This window comes from Homo sapiens, chromosome 7 (genome assembly GCF_000001405.40).
Source record: "Homo sapiens chromosome 7, GRCh38.p14 Primary Assembly".
Taxonomy (NCBI): Eukaryota; Metazoa; Chordata; class Mammalia; order Primates; family Hominidae; genus Homo; species Homo sapiens.
Window position 1 is genome coordinate 94,863,095 of NC_000007.14, and position 25,528 is coordinate 94,888,622.

Consider the following 25,528-nt stretch of genomic DNA (forward strand, 5'->3'; position numbering starts at 1 on the left):
AATATATATATAATATATATACATATATATACACACATACATACACACACACATATATATACACACACACATATGTATATATATGTGTATATATGTGTGTGTGTATATATGTGTGTGTGTATGTATGTGTGTGTGTATATATATATATATATAACATTTAGGATTATTTTTTAAAAACTAAAATAAGATCTCTTTTTATTCTTTGTTCAGCACAATAAATTTATTTTGCCCAGGGAAGAATAGGTATGAAATATTAATAGATCCTTGTTTTTATACTTTCCCCTTTTTTTCTTATTTTTCTTATTTATTCATGTATTGTCTGGGATAATAAAAATACAACTTCACCTAATTCCTGCATGACTAGTATCCCTGGTAAATATTCATGTGTACTTTTTATACTAGTCATTATTTTTTCTTACATTTTTAAATTCAATTTTATAAAGTAGTCTCGGCACAGTGTAAGTAGTTTAGTTCAAATTGCTTCTAATTAGAGTATGAGCCTCATTTGCTTTCTTATAATGCCCTTGAGCTGTTCAGTTCCATTAGTGTTTTAAAAGAATGGGCCACCATAGAGGAAAAAATCAGAGCATCTGACTTCTATAATCTTGTACAGTCTGTAAAGCTACTTTGCTTCTCAAATAAGAAGAGCTTTTTTGTTTATTTGTATTTCATTCCACTTTTCTGGGAATATGTACCAACCATTAATAATTTACAAGACACATAGGCTGGATCAATATAGACCAATATGTACTCAGTGATGTCTTCCTTTTGCTCTGCTTCTTAATACAACAAGAAATAAGATTTCTTGGAGTAGTTGCCACCTCTATTATCAAGAGCTCTTGGCCAATTTCCAGGTCAAGGCCTATTAAATGAAACTTCTGAGAAGCCAAACAATTTAAATACCCTGGAGTTAAATTAAGAAGCTCTATTCAAGTAGGCATCAGCAAAGGTGATAGTACTTCCACAATTCTATTAACAATTTATGAATTCTCAGCAAATGTTGATGAGTTAATTCAATCACCATGGTTAAAACAAACGGTGCTTAGATTCTGCTAGTTTTTCTTCTTCACAAAATTTAATTTGCCTTTTTTTAATGAAAGATATTAAGGAGAAAAAAAGGACTTTGGAATTTAATTGGGCTGGTTGGCATCCCAGGCTCACTATTAATAGCTTTAGGGAGATTATGTAACCTCTCTGAGAATCTGTTTTGTTGTTTTGTTTTCCACAAAGTGGTAAAATACAGTGTAACTCATAGAAGTATTGCAGAAATTGACATGAGAGCCAATGTAACATACTTAGTACAGTGCCCAGCATCTGCATTATCCTTAATAAATGGTAGTTATTATTTAGCAGGAAGCCAACTAGTGATGTTGGTGAACCTACATGCCTTTCGTTCCTCACTCCCTCCTTATCCCTTTTATTGTTTCTCTCCAAATTACAGCAGGTGCTTCCATATCATCTCATTCCCCCGATACCCAGGGCACTACCACTTCCATACCTATCCCAGGTATCTGATAACCACGTGACCTGGGGTCCAGTATTTCCACATTTCCTGGCCTTGCTCTTCCTGTTGGGTAATATTTTCTTAGAATGTCCTGATTCTGGCCGGGCACGGTGGCTCACGCCTATAATCCCAACACTTTGGGAGGCCGAGGTGGGCAGATCACGAGGTCAGGAGATAGAGACCATCCTGGCTAACACGATGAAACCCCGTCCCTACTAAAACTACAAATATTAGCCAGGGCTGGTGGCACGCGCCTGTAGTCCCAGCTACTCAGGAGGCTGAGGCAGGAGAATCACTTGAACCCGGGAAGCGGAGGTTGCAGTAATAATAAAATAATAGGGCCAGGCGTGGTGGCTCATGCCTGTAATCCCAGCACTTTGGGAGGCTGAGGTGGGAGGATCACAAGGTCAGGAGATCGAGACCATCCTGGCTAACACGGTGAAACCCCGTCTCTACTAAAAATACAAAAAAATTAGCCGGGAGTGGTGGCGGGCGCCTGTAGTCCCAGCTACTGGGGAGGCTGAGGCAGGAGAATGGTGTGAACCTGGGAGGCACAGCTTGCAGTGAGCAGAGACCACGCCACTGCACTCCAGCCTGGGGGACAGAGCGAGACTCCGTCTCAAAATAATAATAATAATAATAATAATAATAATAATAATAATAATTAAAATGAAAATAAGGACCTTATAATATGTATTAAAAATTTAGTCACGAGTAAAACATAGTAATATAAATGCACTGGTTTATAAGAAGATGGTTGGATCCTGATATGGTTTGGATCTGTGTCCCTACCAAATCTCATGTTGAAATGTAATCCCCAGTGTTGGAGGTGGGACCTGGTGGGAGGTGTTTGAGCAGGTCCCTCATGGCTTGGTGCTGTCCTAGCAATAGTGAGTGACTACTCATGAGATCTGGTTGTTGTAAAGTGTGGCACATACCCCGCCTCCCCCTCCTTGCTCCCACTCTTGCCATGTGAGATGCCTGCCACACTTCGCCTTCTGCTGTGATTGTAAGCTTCCTGAGGCCTTACCAGAAGCAGTTGCCAGCACTATGCTACCTGTACAGCCTGCAGAACCATCTGCCAATTAAACCTCTTTTCTTATAAATTCGTCAGCCTCATGTATTTCTTTATAACAATGCAAGAACATGCTAACACAAGTCAAAATTATATACCTGACAAAATGAAATAAAACAAATATTAAGATTTTTTTTCTTCTAACAGGTAATCTTATGAAGCCTTTGAACCAAATTTTGGGTGAAGAAATTTGAGTCAGTTACTAATATACTGGATTGGACAATGCATCGTTAACTATGAAAATGTGACTGAATTATGTGAGGAGGCTCAAAAGATAAGAATCATTCTAACAAGGTCTGTACCATATTTTCTTGCTCTCAATTCTTCATTTTTGAAGAGTGTTACCTTTCCTTTCAGTATAGGGAGGGTGCCTTTTATATGAGAGTTCCATCTTTTGCCTTTAAGAAACAGCACAAATGTCAAAGTGATTTTATTTTATATCTACTGGGTTTCAAGTGTCTTTACCTAAATAGTAAGAATGCCAGAATAGCTGAGGAGTTTTGGAAAAAGAGTTTAGCTTAGAGAGGGATGAGGGTGAGAAGGTGTAGAAAGGGTTCAGAGAAGAAAGAGTCTCAGCTAGCTTTCAGACAGTATTTAGCAGTGATGTAATCTTTGAGTCCTAAATGTGTTTTGAAAGTCTTGAGATACAGTTTGAGTTATGGGTCCTATTTGGATTGTATGATGTTATAGCTATGATCTTTTATTTTAGTTTTAAGAAAAACAGACTGACTGATCCCCATAGTGTTTGAATATGTCACCAGCTGGAGTCCCAGAAGCAGGGAATTATCTTGGCATGCCATTGAACTTTGAGAACCCAAGATATGGTTTGGATTTGTGTCCCTGACCAAATCTCATGTCAAATTGTAATTTTCAGTGTTGGAGATAGGGCCTGGTGGAAGGTGATTGGATCATGAGGGCAGAGTTCTCATAAGTGGTTCAGCACCATACCCACTTGGTACTATATAGCGAGTGAGTTATCGGGAGATGTGGTTGTTTAAAAGTGTGTAGCACCTCCCCCCTCTCTCTTCCTCCTGCTCTGGCCATGTAAGGCCTGCCTGCTTCCCCTTTGCCTTTTGCCATGATTGAAAGTTTCCTGAGGCTGTTAGGCTTTCTGTACGGCCTGCAGAACCATGAGCCAATTAAACCTCTTTTCTTGGTTGTAGGTGGAGCCAAATGCAACAACTTATCCTTCACCATAGAAGGAATTTTTTTTTGAGGTTTATTTGAATTGATTGGCATTTTTTAAAAATATCAATAGGTTTTGGGGAACAGGTGGTGTTTGGTTACATGAATCAGTTCTTTAGTGATGATTTCTGAGAGTTTGGTGTATCCGTCACCCAAGCAGTATACACTGTACCCAATGTGTAGTCTTTTATCCTCACCCCTGCTTCCACCCTTTCCTCTGAGTCCCCAAAGTCCATTGTTTTATTCTTATGCCTGTGCGTCCTCATAGCTTAGCTCTGAGTTATGAGTGAGAACATATGATGTTTAGTTTTCCATTCCTGAGTTACTTCACTTAGAATAATGGTCTCCAGTTCCATCCAGGTTGCTGCAAATGCCATAATTACTTTTCTTTTTTTGAGACAGTCTCACTCTATCGCCCAGGCTGGAGTGCAGTGGCTCGATCTCGGCTCACTGCAAACTCCGCCCCCGGGTTCACGCCATTCTCCTGCCTCAGCCTCCCGAGTAGCTGGGACTACAGGTACCCGCCACAATGCCCGGCTAATTTTTTTATTTTTATTTTTAGTAGAGACGGGGTTTCACTGTGTCAGCCAGGATGGTCTCGATCTCCTGACCTCGTGATCCGCCCGCCTCGGCCTCCCACAGTGCTGGGATTACAGGTATGAGCCACCGTGCCCGGCCAATTACTTTTCTTTTTATGGCTGAGTAGTTATTTCATGAGATATATATGTATATCACATACCACATTTTTTTGGTTTGTTTTTGAGATGGAGTCTTGCTCTGTAGCCAAGCTGGAGTGCAGTGGCATGATCTCAGCTCACTGCAACCTCCGCCTCCAGGGTTCAAGCAATTCTCCCGCCTCAGCCTCCCAAGTAGCTGGGATTACAGGCACATGCCAACACACCCAGCTAATTTTTTTTATTTTAGTAGAGACAGGACTTCACCATGTTGGCCAGGATGGTTTTGATCTCCTGACCTCGTGATCTGCCCTCCTCGGCCTCCCAAAGTGCTGGGATTACAGGTGTGAGCCACCGCACTTGGCCACCACATACCACATTTTCTTTATCCACTAATTGATTGATGGGCATTTGGGCTGGTTCCATATCTTTGCAATTGCGAATTGTGCTGCTATAAATATGCACATGCAAATATCTTTTTCATATAATGACTTACTTTCCTCTGGGAAGATACCTAGTAGTGGGATTGCTGGATCAAATGGCAGATCTACTTTTAGTTTTTTAAGGAATCTCTACACTGTTTTCCATAGTGTTTTTACAATTTTTCATTCCCACCAGCAGTGTAAAAATGTTCCATTTTCACCACATCCATGCCAACATCTATCATATTCGATTTTTGTATTATGACCATTCTGGCAGGAGTAAGATAGTATTGTGGTTTTAATTTGCATTTCTCTGATAATTAGCGATGTTAAGCATTTTTTCATGTTTTTTGGCTATTTATGTATCTTCTTTTGAGAATTGTCTATTCATGTCCTTAGCCCACTTTTTGATGTTTTTCTTTTTGTTTTTTTTTTTTCTTGCTGATTTATTTGAGTCCCTTGTAGATTCTGGATATAAGTCTTTTGTCAGATGTATGGATTGTGATGATTTTCTGCCACTCTGTGGGTTATCTGTTTACTCTGCTGATTATTTCTTTTGCTATGCAGAAGCTTTTTAGTTTAATTAAGTCCATTCTATTTATCTTTCTCTTTGTTGCATCTGCTTTTGGGTTCTTGGTCACAGTCTTTGCCTAAGCCACTGTCAAGAAGGATTTTTCCGAGGTTCTTTTTTAGAATTTTTACAGTTTCAGGTCTTAAGTTTAAGCCTTTGATCCGTCTTGAGTTAATTTTTGTATAAGGTGAGAGAGGAGGATTCAGTTTCATTCTCCTACATGTGACTTGCCAATTATCCCAGCACCATTTGTTGAATTAGTGTCCTTTCCCCACTTTATGCTTTTGTTTGCTTTGTCAAAGATCAGTTGACTGTAGGTATTTGGCTTTATATCTGGGTTCCCTATTCTGTTCCACTGGTCTATATGCCTGTTTTTAGACCAGTACCATGCTGTTTTGGTGACTATGCCCGTACAGTATTGTTTGAAGTCAGGTAATCTAATGCCTCCAGATTTGTTCTTTTTGCTTCGTATTGCTTTGGCTGTGCAGGCTCTTTTTTCATTCCATATGAATTGTAGAATTGTTTTTCTAGTTCTGTGAAGAATTATGGTGGTATTTTGATGGGAATTTTGCATTAAATGTGTAGATTGCTTTTGGCAGTATGGTCATTTTCACAATATTGATTCTACTCATCAATGAGTATGGGATGTATTTCCATTTGTTTGTGTTGTCTATGATTTCTTTCAGCAGCATTTTGTAGTTTTCCTTGTAGAGGTCTTTTACCTTCTTGGTTAGGTATATTATTATTTTATTTTATTTTATTTTTTCAGCTGTAGTAAAAGGGGTTGAGTTCTTGATTTGATTCTTAGCTTGGTTGCTGTTGGTGGATAGCAGGGCTACTGTTGGTGGATAGCAGGACTAATGCGTACATTAATTTTGTATCTGAAACTTTGCTGAATTCATTTACCAAATTCTAGAAGGTTTTTGGATGAGTCTTTAGGGTTTTCTAGGTATACGATCATGTCATCAGCAAACAGTAACAGTTTGACTTCCTCTTTACCAGTTTGGATGCCCTTTATTTCTTTCTCTTGTCTGATTGCTCTGGCTAGCACTTCAGCACTATGTTGAATAGAAGTGGGGAAAGTGGGCATCCTTGTCTTGTTCCAGTTCTCAGAGGAAATGCTTTCAACTTTTCCCCGTTCAGTATAATGTTGTCATAGATGGCTCTTATTATGTTAAGGTATGTCTCTTCTATGTCAGTTTTGCAGAGGGTTTTAATCATAAAGTGATGCTGGATTTTGTCAAATACTTTTTATGCATCTATTGAGATGATCATGTGATTTTTGTTTTTAATAGTTTGTGTGGTTTATCACATCTATTGACTTGAGCATGTTAAACCATCCCTGCATCCCTAGTATGAAACCCAGTTGATCATAGTGGATTATCTTTTTGATATGCTGTTGAATCTGGTTAGCTAGTATTTTGTCAAGGATTTTTGCATCTATATTTATTAGGGATGTTGGTCTGTAGTTTTCTTTTTTGTGCTATGTCCATTTCTGGTTTTGGTATTAGGGTGATACTGGCTTCATAGAATGATTTAGGGAGTATTCCCTCTTTCTCTGTCTTTTGGAATAGTGCCAATTGAATTGGTACCAATTCTTCTTTGAATGTCTGATAGAATTTGGCTGTGATTCCATCTGGCACTGGACTTTTTTTTCTTAACTTTTAAATTACTATTTCAGTCTCACTGCTTGTTATTGGTCTGTTCAGAGTTTCTATTTCTTCATGGTTTAATCCAGGAGGGTTGTATATTTCCAGAAGTTTATCCATCTCCTCTAGGTTTTCTAGTTTATACACATAAAGGTGTTCATAGTAGCCTTGAATGATCTTTTGTATTTCTGTGATATTGGTTGTCATAGCTCTCATTTCATTTCTAATTGAGCTTATTTGGATCTTCTCCTTCTCTTGGTTAATCTTCCTAATGGTCTATCAATTTTATTTATGTTTTCAAAGAACTGCTTTTTGTTTCATTTATTGTTTGTATTTTTGTTTGTTTCAATTTCATTTAGTTGTGCTCTAATCTTTGTTATTTATTTTCTTCTCCTGGGTTAGGTTTTGGATTGATCTTGATTCTCCAGTTCCATGAGGTGTGACCTTAGATTGTCTATTTGTGCTCGTTCAGACTTTCTGATGTAGGCATTCAATGCTATGAACTTTCCTCTTAGCACCATCTGTATTAGTCCATTTTCACACTGCTGATAAAGACATACCTGAGACTGTGAAATTTATAAAAGAAAGAGGTTTAATGGACTTACAGTTCCACATGAATGGGAAGGCCTCACAATCGTGGGAGAAGGTGAAAGGCACATCTCACATGAGGGCAGACAAGAGAAGAGAGAAGAGAGCTTGTGCAGCGAAAGTCTCCTTTTAAAATCATCAGACCTTGTGAGACTTACTCACTATCGTGAGAACAGCACAGCAAAGACCTGCCCCGATGATTCTGTGAGTTATCTCCCACTGGGTCCCTCCTACAACACATAGAAATTCAAGATGAGATTTTAGTGGAGACACAGCCAAACCATATCACTGTCTTTGCAGTATCCCAGAGGTTTTGATAGGATGTGTCACTATTATCATTCAGTTCAAAAGTCTTTTAAATTTTCGTCTTGATTTCATTGTTGACCCAATGATCACTCAGGAGCAGGTTATTTAATTTCCATGTATTTGCATGGTTTTGAGAGTTTCTTTTGGAGTTGATTTCCAATTTTATTGCACTGCAGTCTGAGAGACCACACACTTGCTGTAATTTCAATTTTCTTAAATTGGTTGAGATTTGTTTTGTGGCCTATCACATGGTCTAGCACTTGGTCCATGTGCTAATGAATAGAATTCATATTCTGCAGTTGTTGGGTAGAATGTTCTGTAAATATATGTTAGGTCCATTTGTTTAGGGTATAGTTTAATTCCATTGTTTCTTTGTTGACTTTCTGTCTTCATGGCCTGTCTACTGCTGTCAGTGCAGTATTAATGTACCCCACCATTATTGTGTTGCTGTCTACTTCATTTCTTAGGTCTAGTAGTAATTCTATAAATTTTTTATAAATTTATAAATTTAGTATTTTTAAATTTATAAAATTAAATAAATTTATCAAATTAGTAGTTTTATAAATTTGAGAGCTCCCATGTTAGATTCATATATATTTAGGATTACAATATTTTCCCATTGGATTAGTCCTTCTATTGTTAATGTCCCTGTTTGTCTTCTTTAACTGCTCTTGCTTTAAAATTTGTTTTGTCTGATATAAGAATAGCTACTCCCTTTTAGTGTCCATTTACATGTGATATCTTTTTCCATCCCTTCATCTTAAGTTTATGTGAGTCCTTAAGTGTCAGGTGAGTCTCTTAAAGACAGCACATACTTGGCTGGTGAATTCTTATCCATTCTGCCATTCTGTATCTTTTAAGTGGAGCATTTAGGCCATTTACATTCAATGTTAGTATTGAGATGTGAGATGCTATTCTATTCATCATGCTATTTGTTGCCTGAATACCTTTGGGTTTCTTTTTTTTTTTAATTGTGTTGTTGTTTTCTAAGTCCTGTGAGATTTGCGCTTTAAGGAGATTCTACTTTGGTGTATTTTGAAAATTTGTTTCAAGATTTAGAGCTCTCTTTAGCAGTTTTTGTCATGATGGCTTGGTAGTGGCAAATTCTCTCAGCATTTTTTTTGTCTGAAAAAGACTGTATCTTTCCTTCATTATGAAGCATGGTTTCACTGGATACAAAATTCTTAGCTGGTAATAGTTTTGTTTAAGGAGGCTAAAGATAGGACCACAATCATTTCCAGCTTGTAGGGTGTCTACTGAGAAATCTGCTGTTAATCTGATAGATTTTCTTCTACAGGTTACCTGATGCTTTTGCCTCACAGCTTTTAAGATTCTTTCCTTCATCTTGACTTTAGATAACTTTATGACTATGTGCTTAGGCGATGATCTTTTTGCAATAAATTTTTCAGGGCTTCTTTGAGCTTCTTATATTTGGATGTCTGGATCTCTAGCAAGGCCAGGAACTTTTCCTTAATTATTCCCTCAAATATGTTTTCCAAACTTTTAGATCTCTTAGGAACACCAATTATTCTTAGGTTTGGTCATTTAACATAATCCCAAACTTCTTAGAGGCTTTGTTCATTTTTTAAAATTCTTTTTTCTTTGTCTTTGTCGGATCGGGTTAATTCAAAAGCCTTGTCTTCAAGCTCTAAAGTTCTTTCTTCTACTTGTTCAATTCTATTGCTGAGACTTTCCAGTGCATTTTGCACTTCTCAAAGTGTGTCATTCATTTGCAGAAGTTGTGGCTGTTTTTTTATCTATGCTATCTATTTCACTGGAGATTTTTCCATTTATATCCTGTATCTGTTTTTGATTTCTTTACGTTGTACTTCACCTTTCTCTGGTGCTTTCTTGATTGGCTTATTAGTTAACTTTCTGAATTCTTTTTCTGGCTATTCAGATATTTCATCTTGGTTTGGATCCATCAATGGATGGTGAGCTAGTGTGATTTTTGGGGGGTGTTAAAGAACCTTGTTTTGTCGTATTACCAGAATTGTTTCTCTGGTTTCTTCTCATTTGGGCAGACTATGTTGAAGGGAAGATTTGGGACTCTAGGGCTGCTGTTCAGATTATTTTGTCCCACGGGGTGCTCTCTTGATGTGGTGCTCTCCCCTTTTCCCTAGAGATGGGGCTTCCTGAGAGCTGAACTGAAGTGATTGTTATTACTTTTTTTGGATTTAGCCACCCAGTGGAGCTACCGTGCTCTGGGCTGGCAGTGGGCAGGGCCATAGAGCTCCCAAGTTATTATGTTTTTAGTCTTAGGCTACCATGGTGGGTAGAGAAAGACCATCAGGTGGAGGCAAGGTTAGGCCTGTCTGAGCTCAGACTCTCCTTAGGTGGGGCTTGCTGTGGCTGCTCTGGGGATGAGGGTGTGGTTTCCAGGCCAATAAAGTTATATTCCCAGAGAGATTATGGCTGCCTCTGCTGCATTACATGTGTTGCCAGAAAAGTGGGAGAATGCCGGCAGCCACAGGCCTCATCCATCTCCTATACAGTCCAAGCCCGAAAAGTCAGTCTCACTCAGATGGGCTTTGGAAACCCAGAAAGCCACTAAGTATTCCCAAAATGTCTCTCCTCCAAAATTTATTTCACAGTCTCTCTGAGATGATATATCAGGGCAAATGAAAATCTTAGAAGTCTTTTAAAATAAATATTGATGAAAAGCTTTAACTGTCATATTGAGCAAGTAACCTTAACTTGCTGCATCTGCCAGAAATATAATTCAGATTTTTAAAAATGAAGCATAAATCAGAACTAATTCATATAAATTAGTGAGTTTTGCATTTCTGTATTTATACCTGACTTATGACTAAAATTTTAGAATGAAAGCTATAAGATCTCTATGTGCATCTGCCTGTATGTTTACGTATATGCAGGTATGTTGTGTAGATGTGATATTTATCTACCTCCAAATAGTATTGCCAAAATCACCTAAAGAGCTCTAATTGGTTTAGAAGTAAATACGTGCTCCACCAGGTGCAGTGGCTCACTCCTGTAATCCCAGCACTTTGGGAGGTCGAGGCAGGCAGATCACTTGAGGCCAGGAGTTCAAGACCAGCCTGGCCAGTATGGCTAAACCACATCTCTACAAGAGATACAAAAAAAAATTGGCCAGACGTGGTAGCGCATGCCTGTAATCCCAGCTACTCAGGTGGCTGAGACACAAGAATTGCTTGAATGTGGGAGGTGGAGGTTGCAGGGAGTCAGGATTGCGCCACTACAATCCAGCTTGGGTGACAGAGTGAGACTCTATCTCAAAAATAAAAGTAAATAAGTGCTTTTAAGTATTCCTAAAACTCTCAGAAATATAGGAACTAACCTGTCAACCTAAAATAATCAAAAGAGTCAGAATGCAGTTTAAAGAGAGCTTATTCAAGAGCAAATATTGAGGACTGCAACCCAGGACACACTTCCAAGTTGCCTTGGGGATTGTACCAGAGAACAAAAGAGAGGCTTAAATTTTTCAAGAAAAAAAGAATGAATCAGGAGAGGGGGTGATTACAAATGTTTTTTGTCAGGAATTCTCATGGTTTATAGAAATAACATTGGTTAGTGATTGGTTATACATTGTTGAACTACAGAATGTATGGCATTTTATGACTACTTGGCGTCTGTTAGTCTAGATCCCACAGAGCAAGTGGCCCCAAGAGATAATTATTTAGTTCACAGGGGACTGAGACATAACTGCTATTATATTTTAAATGCCTTTCTGGGACTGATAACTTAAAGGGGCTCACATCCCTGAGATAAAAGGTTTTTTTCTTTCTCAAACCCAAATGCTTTTCAAGTTCATATGATTTGGGAAAACCTTTAGCAAATAAAACTAATTTAATATTATTGGCTTAATAAAAACAGGTTTGTCTTCAGAGTTGTTATCATTAAATATAATGCAGACATGCATTTTTATTCTACCTGGGTTTACTAGTCAAATACATTTATGTTATCTCTGCTGGATATTTAAGATTATAAAATTATAAATTCAATCTAAGAAAAAATATACAGTAAAAATGAATTGCATGATGTATGTCAAACATGGCAATATAAAGAAGCCATATGTTTAACTTTTTAGGTTTTTTGCTTCTGTGAGTTTTGATACTTGCCTAATAAGAAACTAACTTAAGATGATGGCTGCTTTATTTAATATCTCATGAAATCATCCTGAAGAATCCAAGAATACTTGCTAAGAACATGTGAATTAAATGGATGTTAGATAATGGTTAATAAATGAATTTCTCAACAATAAATGAGACTGAGCTGGGACTCCCTCTTAGGGGCCTGACCAGCCCCTCCCCACCCCAAGGATGGGGAAATAAAGTCTGGAGTTCCCTCAAGGGAAATTCCAGGCACCTAGCTAACTCTGAGAGGTAAATAAGTAACTTCTTAAGCAAGAAGATAATAGAAGCCTAAAACCATAGCCAAGAAAGTTAGAGTCTAAATATGTTTGACTTATCTATAGAAACTAAAGGAAACATCTTAACATATATCCCTGAGTTGTTATTTCAGAAACCTGGACCCCAACCTGGACCCTCACCAAATGGATCTACTGTCAGGTAGATCTCAGATAAGGGGGAGTTGAGGACTAAACTGACCTCCATTCTTTGTTCTAAATTTCCTCCTGGGGGGCCTGAAGAAGGTCACACCCAGGGGCTAGAGCTAACATTCTTTTCTGCTGCTCCCAAATTTTTAAACAAAGCTTCTCTTCCTTAAGCAATTGCAAGTCAGAAAATCGTAGAATCTACCTGCAAGCTGTAAGCCCCGGCTTCCAGATATCCCACCCTTTTAGGCCAAAGCCAATGTATGATCCATGTATGATTTGTCCATAACTTCTACTCTCCTGAAATTTACCTCTGCCTTTAAAAGCCCTTGGCTGGGTACGGTTGCTCATGCCCGTAATCCCAGTACTTTGGGAGGCCAAGGTGGGGGAATCACTTGAGGTCAGGGGTTCAAGACCTGTCTTAAAGTCATAGCAGGTCGTTTCAGCAGCTACTAGGTAGAACTGGTGTCGGTTACAGCAGGCCCTTTCAGCAGCTGGATTTAAGGAAAATTCAATTATTAGATCTGGTGCTATGTACCTGAGTGCTTTTTACCCCTGGCCCCTTCACTCTGATTTAGTTGGATATGACAAAAACGATCCAACTTGTACAATCAACTTTAACATATATTGGCATATTTACCTTTAATTAAGGAAAGGTTCCCTTATTATAAGGAGTGAGTCCAGAGTAGAAATTATAATCACCACACCCAGTCCAGTAAAGGGGGTATTGGTGGACAGGGACCTTCATAATGTAAAATTTTTCAGGGAGGAAAAACTTTTCTTCTATCTTCTTAGGTTCAGTGTCTGGGGACCTGTGAATTAAACTAACAAAAGACACATTATCAGGAGAAAGGACACAAATTGTTAATATTTACCCAGTGGGAGTTCATAGAAAAGAAGTAACACTCAGATACTAGACAAAACAGACTCAGGGGCTTACTCACTATTGTAACAAAGGAAAAGAGATTTGGGCTTTAGGGGATGGTAAATTTTGGTGAAGTGACTAGAAAATATATAAAGAAAATAATGGAAGATAGATTATTTTAGTAAGGTCTGGTCATGCACTTCATCTTGGTTTTGACTCTGTATCCCTAGGTATGAGTGGGTGGGGTGGGGAGGAAGAAACTTCACAAAGAAAAATATGCCCTGCTTTTAGGCAGAAGAGAGCAGAAAACTCTTCCTGCATTTCTTTTTTTTTTTTTTTTTTTGAGATGGAGTCTCACTCTGTCACCCAGGCTGTAGTACAGTAGGGCAATCTCAGCTCACTGCAACCTCTGTCTCTTGGGTTCAAGTGATTCTCCTGCCTCAGCCTCCCAAGTAGCTGGAATTACAGGCACCAGCCACCACGCCCAGCTAATTTTTGTATTTTTTAGTAGAGGCGGGCTTCACCATGTTGGTCAGGCTGGTCTCAAACTCCTGACCTCAAGCAATCCATCCGCCTCAGCCTCCCAAAGTGCTAGAGTTATAGGTGTGAGCCACCGTGCCTCACCTTCTTCCTGCATTTCTTGATTGTCAATTGACCTTAAGATCATTTGGAGGTAGATAAATATCACATCTACACAGGGTACATACATATACATAAACATACAGACAGATGCACGTAGAGATCTTATAAAATTTTAGCCATGAGTGAGGTATAAATACAGAAACACAAAATTCACTCATTTATATGAATCATTTCTGCTTCATTTTGTTTTTATTATTATTATTATTATTATTATTATTATTATTTTGAAACAGAGTTTCACTCTTATTGCCCAGGCTGGAGTGCAATGGCGTGATCTCAGCTCACTGCAACCTCCGCCTCCCGGGTTCAAGCTATTCTCCTGTCTCAGCCTCCTGAGTATCTGGGATTATAGGTGTGTGCCACCATGCCTGGCTAATTCTGTATTTTTAGTAGAGACAGGGTTTCACCATGTTGGTCAGGCAGGTCTATGACTCCTGACCTCAGATGATCCACCCACCTCAGCCTCCCAAAGTGCTGGGATTACAGGTGTGAGCCACTGCACGCGGCCTCTGCTTCATTTTTTAAAATCTGAATTATATTTCTAGCAGATGTAGCAAGTTAAGATTACTTGCTCAATATGAGGGCTAAAGCTTTTTAACAATATTTATTTTTAAATGTTAGATATGAGTTCTAAATTTCTCTTCAAATAATCAATATGTCAGTATGTTCAATTCTTTGCCTTCTACTTTTAAACTTAACTTCCTCGTAAAGCAACCTTTTTCGATCACCTGCTCCACCCTGACTCATTCTGATCACCTGCACCATACTGACTCACTCCATTCCTATCACCTGCTCCACCCTGATTTATTCCGATTACCTGCTCTGCCCTGACTCATTCTGATCACCTGCCCCACCCTGACTTATTCCAATTACCTGCTCCACCCTGACTCCATAACCATTTTAACATTAGCCAATAGGGGAACCGCACAGCAGCAGGGGCCACGTGCTCAGGAATAAGAACCCCTTCCCCTCTCTTGGCCCAGGTGTGCACTCACCTTTGCTCCATCTGTGAGGGAGCACCCTTCTGTAGAAGTAAATTGCCTTGCTGAGAAGAAAAAAAGAAAATTTTACATTTGAGTGTTATTTCTTTTGCAGCACCAAAACTTTATTTATAACAATTTGGGGTTACATTCCCCTCTGGGGGCAGTCTGTGTTTCTTTCTTGTGAGAAGGCATGTCCCACCCCTTGTGGTGGCCTCAGGGGTGAGAAATCAGGACCCACTCAGTGCCAGGAATAACACGAGCTCTCAGCAACACAGAAAGAAACTGGTTGGCAACCTGGGGTAAAGGATCCTCACATACTTGTGGCGATGACTCTGTGCACAGACCAAGGAAGGAGAAGCCATGGGAGCCAGTAAAGTACTTCCTTGGTAGTCAAATTCTGGAGGGCTGAATGTATGTGTGCATGAATCATCACAAACAACCCTATTTGCGGTGTTGTTCATGTGGATGGTGATAAGTTCTACTGCTGGACGGAGTGAGTGGGTCCTCTCTGTGTTTCCGTAGCTACCTCATATGGCTTAGGGTGGATCCTCCCATAGGATTTATACCGGCACACCAACACTAAGACGATCCTAATTCCCCCTTAGGGGAGTGGCCAGAGAGGACAGCATGAGTGGGAAGTGTGCAAAGGACCTTCAGAGTGGGGAATGGGGAGAAACAGGTCAACCTCCCAGGACAGGCAAGGCAAGACATCCCTGGTTTGAGGGGTTGAGGCTTCCGGGACAGGCAAGGCAAGACACCGCTGGTTTGAGTGGTTGAGCCTTCTGCAAATTTCAGGGGGTTGAACCTCACACAAACCTCGGTAGTAAAAAATATATATGTATATTCAGAACTCCCCTTTCCTTTCTTCTCAGGGGAAGAAAGAGTAGCTCCACTCCCGCCAGTCCCTCCCCGAGGGGAAGGGGAAGGAGAGGGGAGAACAGCAGCATGAGCGGCTGGCAGAGGCAGAGAAAGACCAGCAGAGAGGAAAGAGAAACTGGGAGAGGAAGTCAGAAATAGAGAGAAAGAGACAGTCAGAGAGAGAGAGAAAGAGAGAGGCAGGGAGAGGGAGAAAGAGACAGAAAAAGAAGAAGTCAAAGAGAGAGAGAGAAAGAGAGAGGGAGTCAAAGAAAGAAAGAGAAGTGATAAAGAGAAAATAGTGTACCCTATTCCTTTAAAAGCCAGGGTAAATTTAAAACGTATAATTGATAATTGAAGGTCTTCTCCATGACCCTATAACACTCCAATACCACCTTGTCATCAGTGTAAACAAGGGCATGGCCTGAAAGCACTGAGGCCACTGACAACCTATAGCCTTCGTAATCAAAAATCCTTAACCCAGTAATCCACGGATGGCCCAAATGCATTCAATCTGTCGCAGCAACTGCTTTGCTAACAGAAGAAAGTAGAAGAATAACTTTTAGAGGAAACCTCATTTTGAGCACACCTCATCAGGACAGAACTATCCTAAGTTAAAAAAAGAAAAATAGCAAAAAGGTAGCTTACTAACTCAAGAACCTTAAAGTATGAGGCTATTCTGTTAGAAAAAGATGATTTAATAGTAACCACTGAAAATTCCCTTAACCCAGCAGGTTTCCTAACAGGCGATCTAAATCTTAATTAATTACTATACAAAGGTCCGACCCGACCTTGGGGGAACTCCCTTCAGTACAGTACGATAGATAGTTCCTCCCGGGTGATTGAGGGAAAAAGACACAGTGGGTATTCAGTAAGTGATAAGGAAACTCTCGTAGAAAAAGTTAGGAAAATTGCCTAATAAATGGTCTGCTCAAACCTGCGAGCTGTTTGCACTCAACCAAGCCTAAAAGTACTTAACAGAATCAGGAAGGAGCCATCTATACCAATTCTAAGTTAATATGGACTGAATGAGGTCTTATTAATGGCAAAGAATAATTGAATTCCCAAACTTACAAGGTTTTCAACAAAAGTAAAGTTTGCTAAAAGTTAATAGTGTAACATGTACTATCCTAACTTCTAATTTTGTGGCCTTAGGCAGTCTAATCCACAGACCTAAAGGAAGTTTGCTTTGGAAAAGAATGGTTATCATTTTTGGGAAAAAAAAAAAAAAAAAAAAAAAGCAGGGGGTGGGGCAGCGGAGAATTTATGTAGAAAGAATGTTATATGGTAAATTCTTGTTCTAAAATAACTGGTTGTTTAAAGAAAGGGATGTTTGCAACAAGTCAGAAAGTTGAGACATGTTGAGGAATTGTCTGTGAAAGTCATGAAAAAAATGTTATAAAAGGGAATTTATGCGAGAAATGTTGTATAATTTAAAAGCAATTAGGCCTCCTGAATGTAAAACTATTGAAGAAACAGTTTATGTGCAAGGTGTGTAAGGAAAGTAAAATATACTTTTGGTAAAAGGATTATAAGGAAGCATAAGAATTTGGATTTTTACCTACATTAAAAGGTTAAAAAATATTTTATTAAAAGATTTAAGTAAGTTTTGAAACATTAATTGTAAAGGAAATTCTGTGTGTAAACATATTGGCTACAGTTAAAGGGGTATCATCCAGTTTTTCTGTGAACTGGACATTAAAAGCACAACTGGTTTTTCTTAAAGCACTAACCTGCTCTTTAACAAAAATTATAAAAAGTTAAAAAGAGTATAAAAATCTTACCTTATGGTCAGAAATTAAAGTTGGATAAATATGTCTACAAGGTTTTATTAAAATTAAGTTTAACATTAACAACACGCTAAAGGTGAAATTTAGCTTATCTGGTATAACAATCATACAGGAAGCATTGTGAAATATAAAATGGTGTTTGGCTTTCTTTGTCTAAAAACTAATAAAAATAGGTGCTAAAGAAAATTTCTCAGCAAGAAGGCACCAAGAACAATAAAGTCCACTGCTGATGTCCCCACATTTAAAACAAAAGATCAGTTTCTTAGAAATTATATACTTGTTTTATCCTCCACATTCTTTTCCCTTAAAACAAGAGGTCTTTTAGCACAGGCACCGACTTTGGAGTTTCCAGTACATCAGCATCGGCCTGGGGATCACATTTTCATCAAAGGGTGGGAAGAAGGGAAACTTGAGCCAGCCTGGGAAGGACCTACCTTGTGCTACTAACCACCGAGACTGCTGTTCGTACAGTGGAAAAGGATGGACACATCACACCTGAGTCAAGCAAGTGCCATTATTATCAGAATCATGGGCCATTATTCCTGGATCAAGCCCTACCAAATTAAAGCTAAGGGAAGCTTAGTCTATCTATCTTTTCCTTTCCTTTCCTTACCCGGTGCTTACATCCGTTACTATTCCTAACCCTAGCAACTCTAACCCCACTTTAGAGCATTTCTGTGTTAGGAGCAGAAGTCACTGGAAAAGATCCTATAGGCTTCTTTAAGGTGTGCTTTGTTCTCCCTTCTCCACCTCCTACAGCTGCCCCTTTTCCAAACCTACGAAGTCAAACTATGACTCGCCTTATGCCAAGTGACAAAAGCAAGGTCTCAGTAGTAAAAATAGGAAACCTAAGGCAAACCATAGCCATTGAAACGGGGTATAAAGCCGTAAATGCCTGGTTAAAATGGATTAAATATTCCGTCCATACGTTAAACAAAGGCAATTGTTATGCTTGTGTGCACAGCAGGCCAGAGGCCCAGATTGTCCCCTTTCCACTAGGGTGGTCCTCCAGTCGACCGGGTGTGGGCTGCATGGTAGCTCTTTTCCAGGATTCTGCAGCCTGAGGTAACAAGTTGTGCCAAGCTCTCTGTCTGCTATATCCCAAAGTTTGACACCCTGAGGGTCAGCCCCCGAGGGCTATCCAGCTTCCGTCTCTCAACACTAAGTTCATTTTATGTCCCTCACGACAGGGAGGCAACTTAGTGTTCCTTGGAGACCTGAAGGGATGCAGTGACCTTAAGAATTTTCAGGAGCTTACCAATCAATCAGCCTTTATTCATCCCTGAGCAGATGTGTACTGGTATTATGGCGGACCTTGACTGGACACTCTGCCAAGTAACTGAAGTGGCACTTGTGCTTTAGTCCAATTGGTTCACCCTTGCATTTCATCAGTCAGAGAAAGGAAAAATAAGACATCGTAAAGCAAAAGAAGCCCCTTATGTGTCTTTGTCTTTCGACTCTCAAGTCTATTTAGACACAATTAGAGTCCCATGGGGAATACCAGATCAATTTAAAGCCCGAAATCAAACACCTGCAGGATTTGAGTCAATATTTTGGTGGGTGACAATTAATAAAATGTAGATTAGATAAACTACATCTATTAAAACCAACAGCGATCTGTTAACTACACTAGAAATGCTGTTAAAGGAATAGCTGAGCAATTAGGGGCTACTAGCCAGATGGCTTGGAAAAAATAGGATAGCCTTAGACATGATATTTGCAAAAAAAGGAGGAGTTTGCATCATAATTAAAACTCAATGTTGTATCTTCATCCCAGACAACACCGCCCCTGATGGAAGTATAACAAAGACATTGCAAGGTCTGACTGCTCTGTCCAATGAGTTAGCCAACAACTCAGGGTAAATGACCTCTTTACAGGATGGCTAGAACAATGGTTCAGTAAATGGAAAAGAATAATAGCCTCAATTCTTACTTCACTCACAGTCTTAATGGGTGTACTTATTCTTGTCGGGTGCTATGTCACACCATGCATCTGTGGGTTGGTGCAGAGGCTCAAAAGAATGGCACTTACTAAAACCTCACTTAGCTATCCTCCACCTTATCCAGAGAAGCTTCTTCTTTTGGAAAATCAAGCAGAACAACTAAGCCAAGACATGTTAAAGAAGTTTGAAGAGAAAGAACTGTAAGGAAGATGCAAGAGGAGGGAATGTTAGATATGAGTTCTAAATTTCTCTTCAAAGAATCAATATGTCAGTATGTTCAATTCTTTGCCTTCTACTTTTAAACTTTATTTCCTCATAAAGCAACATTTTTCGGTTACCTGCTCCACCCTGACTCATTCCGATTACCTGCTCCTCCCTGACTCATTCTGATTACTTGCTCTGTCCCAACTCATTCTGACCACAGAATGACAGAGAAATGATGTTAGCTTTCTAAAGCTCTAAGGAGGAGTTCAGGAGCATATTTGCCTATTATCAGAACCTAGAGTAATTAGTATTTAAGTTTCTTTTTTTAGTATAGGACAGTCCCTTTTGCAATGTCCTGACCTTCTACTACATTATCTACAAGCATTTTGAGATGAATTTTGAGATTGGTAAGAAACATAGGTGGGCTTTGCATTACCTCTAGAGCTGCATTTCTGTTTTTGTAAAGACTCAATTAGTAAGACAAGAACTGTTGTTTTTAACTCTTGAAAGAATTGGTTGACAAAATCAATGATAACCTTGCCTGTCCATCCAACTACACACTACAGATGGTCCCTGACTTACTGTTGATGGCTGTTGTGAATCCTAGGTTCTTGTCTTCTTAGTTTAAAAGAATTTCAACAAAAGACACACAGCAAGGGAGATATTGCATAGAGCAATTTATTGCAAAGGAGAAAGAATACTCTGAAAGTTAGGTTCAGAATAGACAGTATACCCTAAGAGGCAATTCAGAGGGGACTGCTCATGAGGATGAGACAGCATTGACCATTACTAAGGAAACTCCCTTTATGGAGGCTTACATGATTATTCATAAGGGGGTGGGAAGAGGTTGCTAGGAAGCATGTTTTGGGTGGTCCTCTGGGTGCACATGCACAGTAGCTGTACATGCTTGTTTATACATCACATGTCTCATTAATATTTTAAAGCTCCACCCAGGGGTGTGATTTTTACTGTTATAATAAGCAAAGGGTCAGTCTGATGACTGGTCAAATCACAATGCACATGCTCTCTACAGGGGAGGTTTCCTACTGGAGATAGTTTTGCTTGAATGAGCTTGACTACAATGCAAACACTGGGCTTATTGGGGCGGCATTGTTGCTGAATCCTGAGGACATAGTTACTTTCTTGACTACCTGGTTACTATCCTGCCTCATTACAATGTTTCCATTTCGGATTTTTCAACTGTATGATGGTGTGAAAGTCATACAGTCAGTGGAAACTGTACTTCAAGTGTTGAATGATCTTTTTCAGGGCTAGCAATATGCTACTCTTGTGGTGTAGGGCATCAACAGCAAGTGTCAGCACCCAGTCGGTCACACAATCACAAGGATGACCACAACTGATACTCCACAGGTGAGGAATAAAGAGAACTTTCATCTGAGGAATATGAGCCCTTTCCTATTATTAGGCCCAGAGAGGCATTAAAATGAGACAGCAATCACTCCCTCCTCCACCTTTGAGCTATGTATTCATCTCTTGAAACTTCTGGCTATTGCCACAAGTAGCTATAAATTAGCCCAATAATGCCACAGTGGACACGCTAACCCATACCCTATAGCTTAACAATGTACAATCACTAATCAATGTTATTTCTATAAACCAATGAGAATTTCTGAACAAACAAATTTGTATCAGCCCGCTCCCTGTGCCCATCTTTTTTTTTTTTTTTTGCCTTTAAAAATCCACTTGTAACTGCTACTGATCAGAGTGTATATTCAGGGCAATCTGAATCTATGCTCCTGTATTGCAATCCTCAAGGCTGGCCAAATAAACTCTACTTATATTAATTTTGCCTCAGCTTCTTCCTTTTATTTTATTTTTTTGAGATGGAGTTTTGCTCTTGTTGCCCAGGCTGGAGTGCAATGGCACCATCTCAGTTCACTGCAATCTCCGCCCCCTGGGTTCAAGTGATTCTCCTGCCTCAGCCTCCCGAGTAGTTGGGATTACAGGTGCCTGCCACCATGCCTGGCTAATTTTTTGTATTTTCGGTAGAGATGGTGTTTCACCATGTTGGTCAGGCTGGTCTTGAACTCCTGACCTCAGGTGATCCAGCCGCCTCAGCCTCCCAAAGTGCTAGGATTACAGGTGTAAGCCACCGTGCCGGCCAGCTTCTTCCTTTTAGGTCAATATAAGGTACTTTGTTGACAGATGATTTTGCCCAACTGTAGGCTTATATAAGTGTTCTGAACGTGATTAAGGTAGGCGAGGCTAGGCTTTGATGTTCATATGATGATAGTGTTAGGTATATTAAATGCATTTTTGACTTAGGATATTTTCCACTTATAGTGAATTTGAGACGTAACCCCATTGTAAGTTGAGGAGCATCTGTATTTTGCTTTTGTCTTTTGAGAGAAGATTGCAAACTAAGGCAGAAATTAAGCAATTCCTATGTTCTGGAACCTGTGGATTTACTGCAATGTACCTTTAGAATTGCGCCAGTGGAGAATTTGTATCCATATGGGGTCTGCAGCAACCTCAATTCTTGCCTCCCCAGAAGAAAGAATTTGACTGAGGGACGTAAGTCAGGAAGAGAGACTGAGGCAAGTTTTAGAAAAGGAGTGAAAGTTTATTGAAAAGCTTAAAGCAGGAATGAAAGGATGTAAAGTACAATTGTAAGAGGGCCAAGGGGGTGACTTGAGAGATCAAGTGCATAGCTTGACCTTTTGACTTGGGGTTTTGTACACTGGCATACTCCTGGGGTCTTGCATCCCTTCTCCCCTGATTCTTCCTTTGGGGGTAAGCTGTCCACATGTGCAGTGGGTGGCCTGCCAGCACTTGGGAGGGGAGCATGTACAGTGTGTTTACTGGAGTCGTATGCATGCTCACTTGGGGCATTCTTCCCTTACCAGCAAATGCTCCTAGAAGGTCATATACCAGTTAAACTCCACCATTTTGCCTCTTAATGTGCATGTGTGAGCCCACTTGCCCAATTCCTGAGATCTTATTGGGAAGCTGCTGATCACTAGTTTCAGATTTTTTCTGACTATAGGGAGGCTGCCTTTCCCTGGCGCTGGCTACGGGCCAGTCATTATTGTAGAGTCAGTTAACAACTGCCTAACCATCACCTGATGGTTGCCTGACATTCCTGGTCAGGCAGAGCCCTCTCTCACCCTGCTCATGCCTGACTAGCTACCTACTGTAACAGAATGTTTTTATAAATTGGCTGGGTGCGGTGGCTCACACCTATAATCCCAGCACTTTGGGAGGCTGAGGCAGGTAGATCGCTTGAGCTCAGGTGTCAAGTCCAGCCTGGGCAACATAGTGACACGCTATATCTACAAAAAAAAATACAAAAATAGCCAGGCATGGTGGTGCACTCCTGTAGTCCCAGTTATTTGGAGGGATGAAGTGGGAAGATCACTTGAGCCCAGGAGGTTGAGGCTTCAGGGAGCCATGTTCATGTTACAGTATTCTAGCCTGGGTAAGAAAGTGAGACCGTCTCAAGAAAAAAAAAAAAAAAAAGAATGTTTTTGTAAATTGTTGAATGAAGTCTTTAGGTTGTTCACCTTCTTCTCCTCCTCCTCCTCTTCTTCTTCTTCTTTTCTTCTATTCTTCATCTCCCCCTCCCCCTCCCTCTCTTCCTCCTCTTCCTTCTTATTCTTATTCTTCTTCCTTCTCCTCTTCTTTTTTTGAGACAGGGTCTCACTCTGTTGCCCTGGATGGAGTGCAATGGCAAAATCACTGTTCACTGCAATCTTGACCTCCTGGGCTCACGCAATCCTCTCACCTCAGGCACACAAGTAGCTGGGACTACAGGTATGTAGGAGGTGAGTGGTACAGGTATGTACCACTACTCCTGGAAGATTTTTTATTTTTTTTGTAGAGACAGGGTCACTATGTTGCCTAGGCTGGTCTCAAACTCCTGGGATCAAGTAATCCTCCTGCCTCAGCATCCCAATGTGCTGGGATTACAGGCATGAACCACCACACTCAGCTTGATGTTCACCTTCTTTCTAAGTGAAGAATTCAACCTTAGAGGGAGAAATCCTCACAATCACGCTTATTAAGCTTTGAATGTCAGTCTCCAACTGTGTCAATTCCTGGTCATTCATGGGGGTCCAAGGAGGGGTACTAGCCATCTGTTTCCCTGTTGAAGAGGATTTTCCCCAGAGGGCCGCCTGGCTTGTTGAATAACTACAATATAATCATGAGTGGGAAGAAAACCTCTTGGAAACCTGTTGTGGGCCCTATGAGTCAAGCTATGGACAGCCACGATTCTTTCTACATACTTTCTAAATTTGATAGAATTTTCAGAAAGTGGAGGTAAGAGGGATATAAAATTTAAAAGACCTGCTACTGTCCAGGGTAAACGAATTCTTCATGGTGGGAATCCAGGATACATTCACAATGCATATTGCATGGGAAGACCTGGAGCTGATGGGATCTGATTACGGAGTCCTAGGAAGAAGGTGGGATTATAAGGGAAAGTAAAATAAGTCTTGCTGAGCATTCACAGAGCCTCTGCCAGAACTATCTGTGGTTATTGTCATTTACATAGTAATGTGTATGTCTACACCTGTAGGTCAGGCTAGAGTACTTTTTGCAATTCTTGCGAAGAAAGAGAAGTTAAAGTGGACAGTTGAGTGATTGAGGGATTTTCTGGGAAAATCAGAGGAGTTTCAGGAATTAAAGTAATTTTTGTGGAGGTAGGGCCAGATCATGGAGAGGAGAATTTGAGGCAGAGATCCAGAGATTCAAAAAAATCTTCTATAGGGTCGGGGAAAGGGAGTTGGAGTAAAGGGAAGTATAGGAGGGAGGTGAGAGGAGGAATTTACAGTGGGTGTGGAATTTAACTTTCAGGCCGGGTGCAGTGGCTCACGCCTGTAATCCCAGCACTTTGGGAGGCTGAGGTGGGTGGATCACAAGGTCAGGAGTTCAAGACCAGCCTGGCCAAGATGCTGAAACCCCATCTCTACTAAATATACAAAAATTAGCTGGGCGTGGTGGCACGAGCCTGTAATCCCAGCTACTTCGGAGGCTGAGGCAGGAGAATCGCTTAAACCCAGGTGCCAGAGGTCACAGTGAGCCAAGATCAAGCCACTGCACTCCAGCCTGGGCAACAGAGCAAGACTTCGTCAAATAAATAAATAAATAAAAATAATAAAAACTTTTAAATCTGATTTCTGCTCTTTAATCTTGTTAAGAAAGTCTTTTAGGCTAGCCACGGTGCTTTTTTGCATCCTCTTTCAATTTGATCCTCCCATAGGTACAAATAGGACATTTGTTTAGGGTGAGAGCTAAATCCTTTTAAAAGGATTTAAAGTTCTTTAAAAATAGATACCTCCAAAGGCGTATCTATTCTTAATGTGACTCAAAACCAATAAGCCTTTTTATGACTTAACCATGGTCACAAGAGGGATTCCCAAAGAGAATGCAGAAGATATAGCTCTCATGATCCAAAGGCTTTCCCAAAGATAGCTAAAAAGAACTAAAGCAAAGGACTTCATTGCCACAGGCAGTGAAGAATGGTGTTTGTGAAAAGTCATGTCTCCAGTCTCCCAAATAGTGAGATGCTGCCAATCACAGCCCAGCTAATCCATGAGACTGACACCAGGCAGGCAATACAGAGATGGGACTTCCCCAGTACTGACAAGGCAATGTGGGAAGAGACAAGGGCTCCTTATGGACTAGGGCCCTTTATTTAGACTAATTCTTTGAATGCAAACTGCAGGAGGGAAAAAACAAAATTATTTAGACTAATTCCTCTGAGAGCTGGCATA

At 40.1% G+C, this 25,528-nt stretch overlaps 1 annotated feature.

Annotated features, from left to right (window-relative positions):
• Positions 14,434–15,633: an enhancer, noted in NCBI's record as "CDK7 strongly-dependent group 2 enhancer chr7:94506840-94508039 (GRCh37/hg19 assembly coordinates)". NCBI's record gives its function as "activates an origin of replication core promoter dependent on BRD2, BRD4, P300/CBP, MED14 and CDK7 cofactors, with strong dependence on CDK7, by STARR-seq in HCT116 cells {active_cell/tissue: HCT116}" and the evidence as "EXISTENCE:reporter gene assay evidence [ECO:0000049][PMID:35650434]".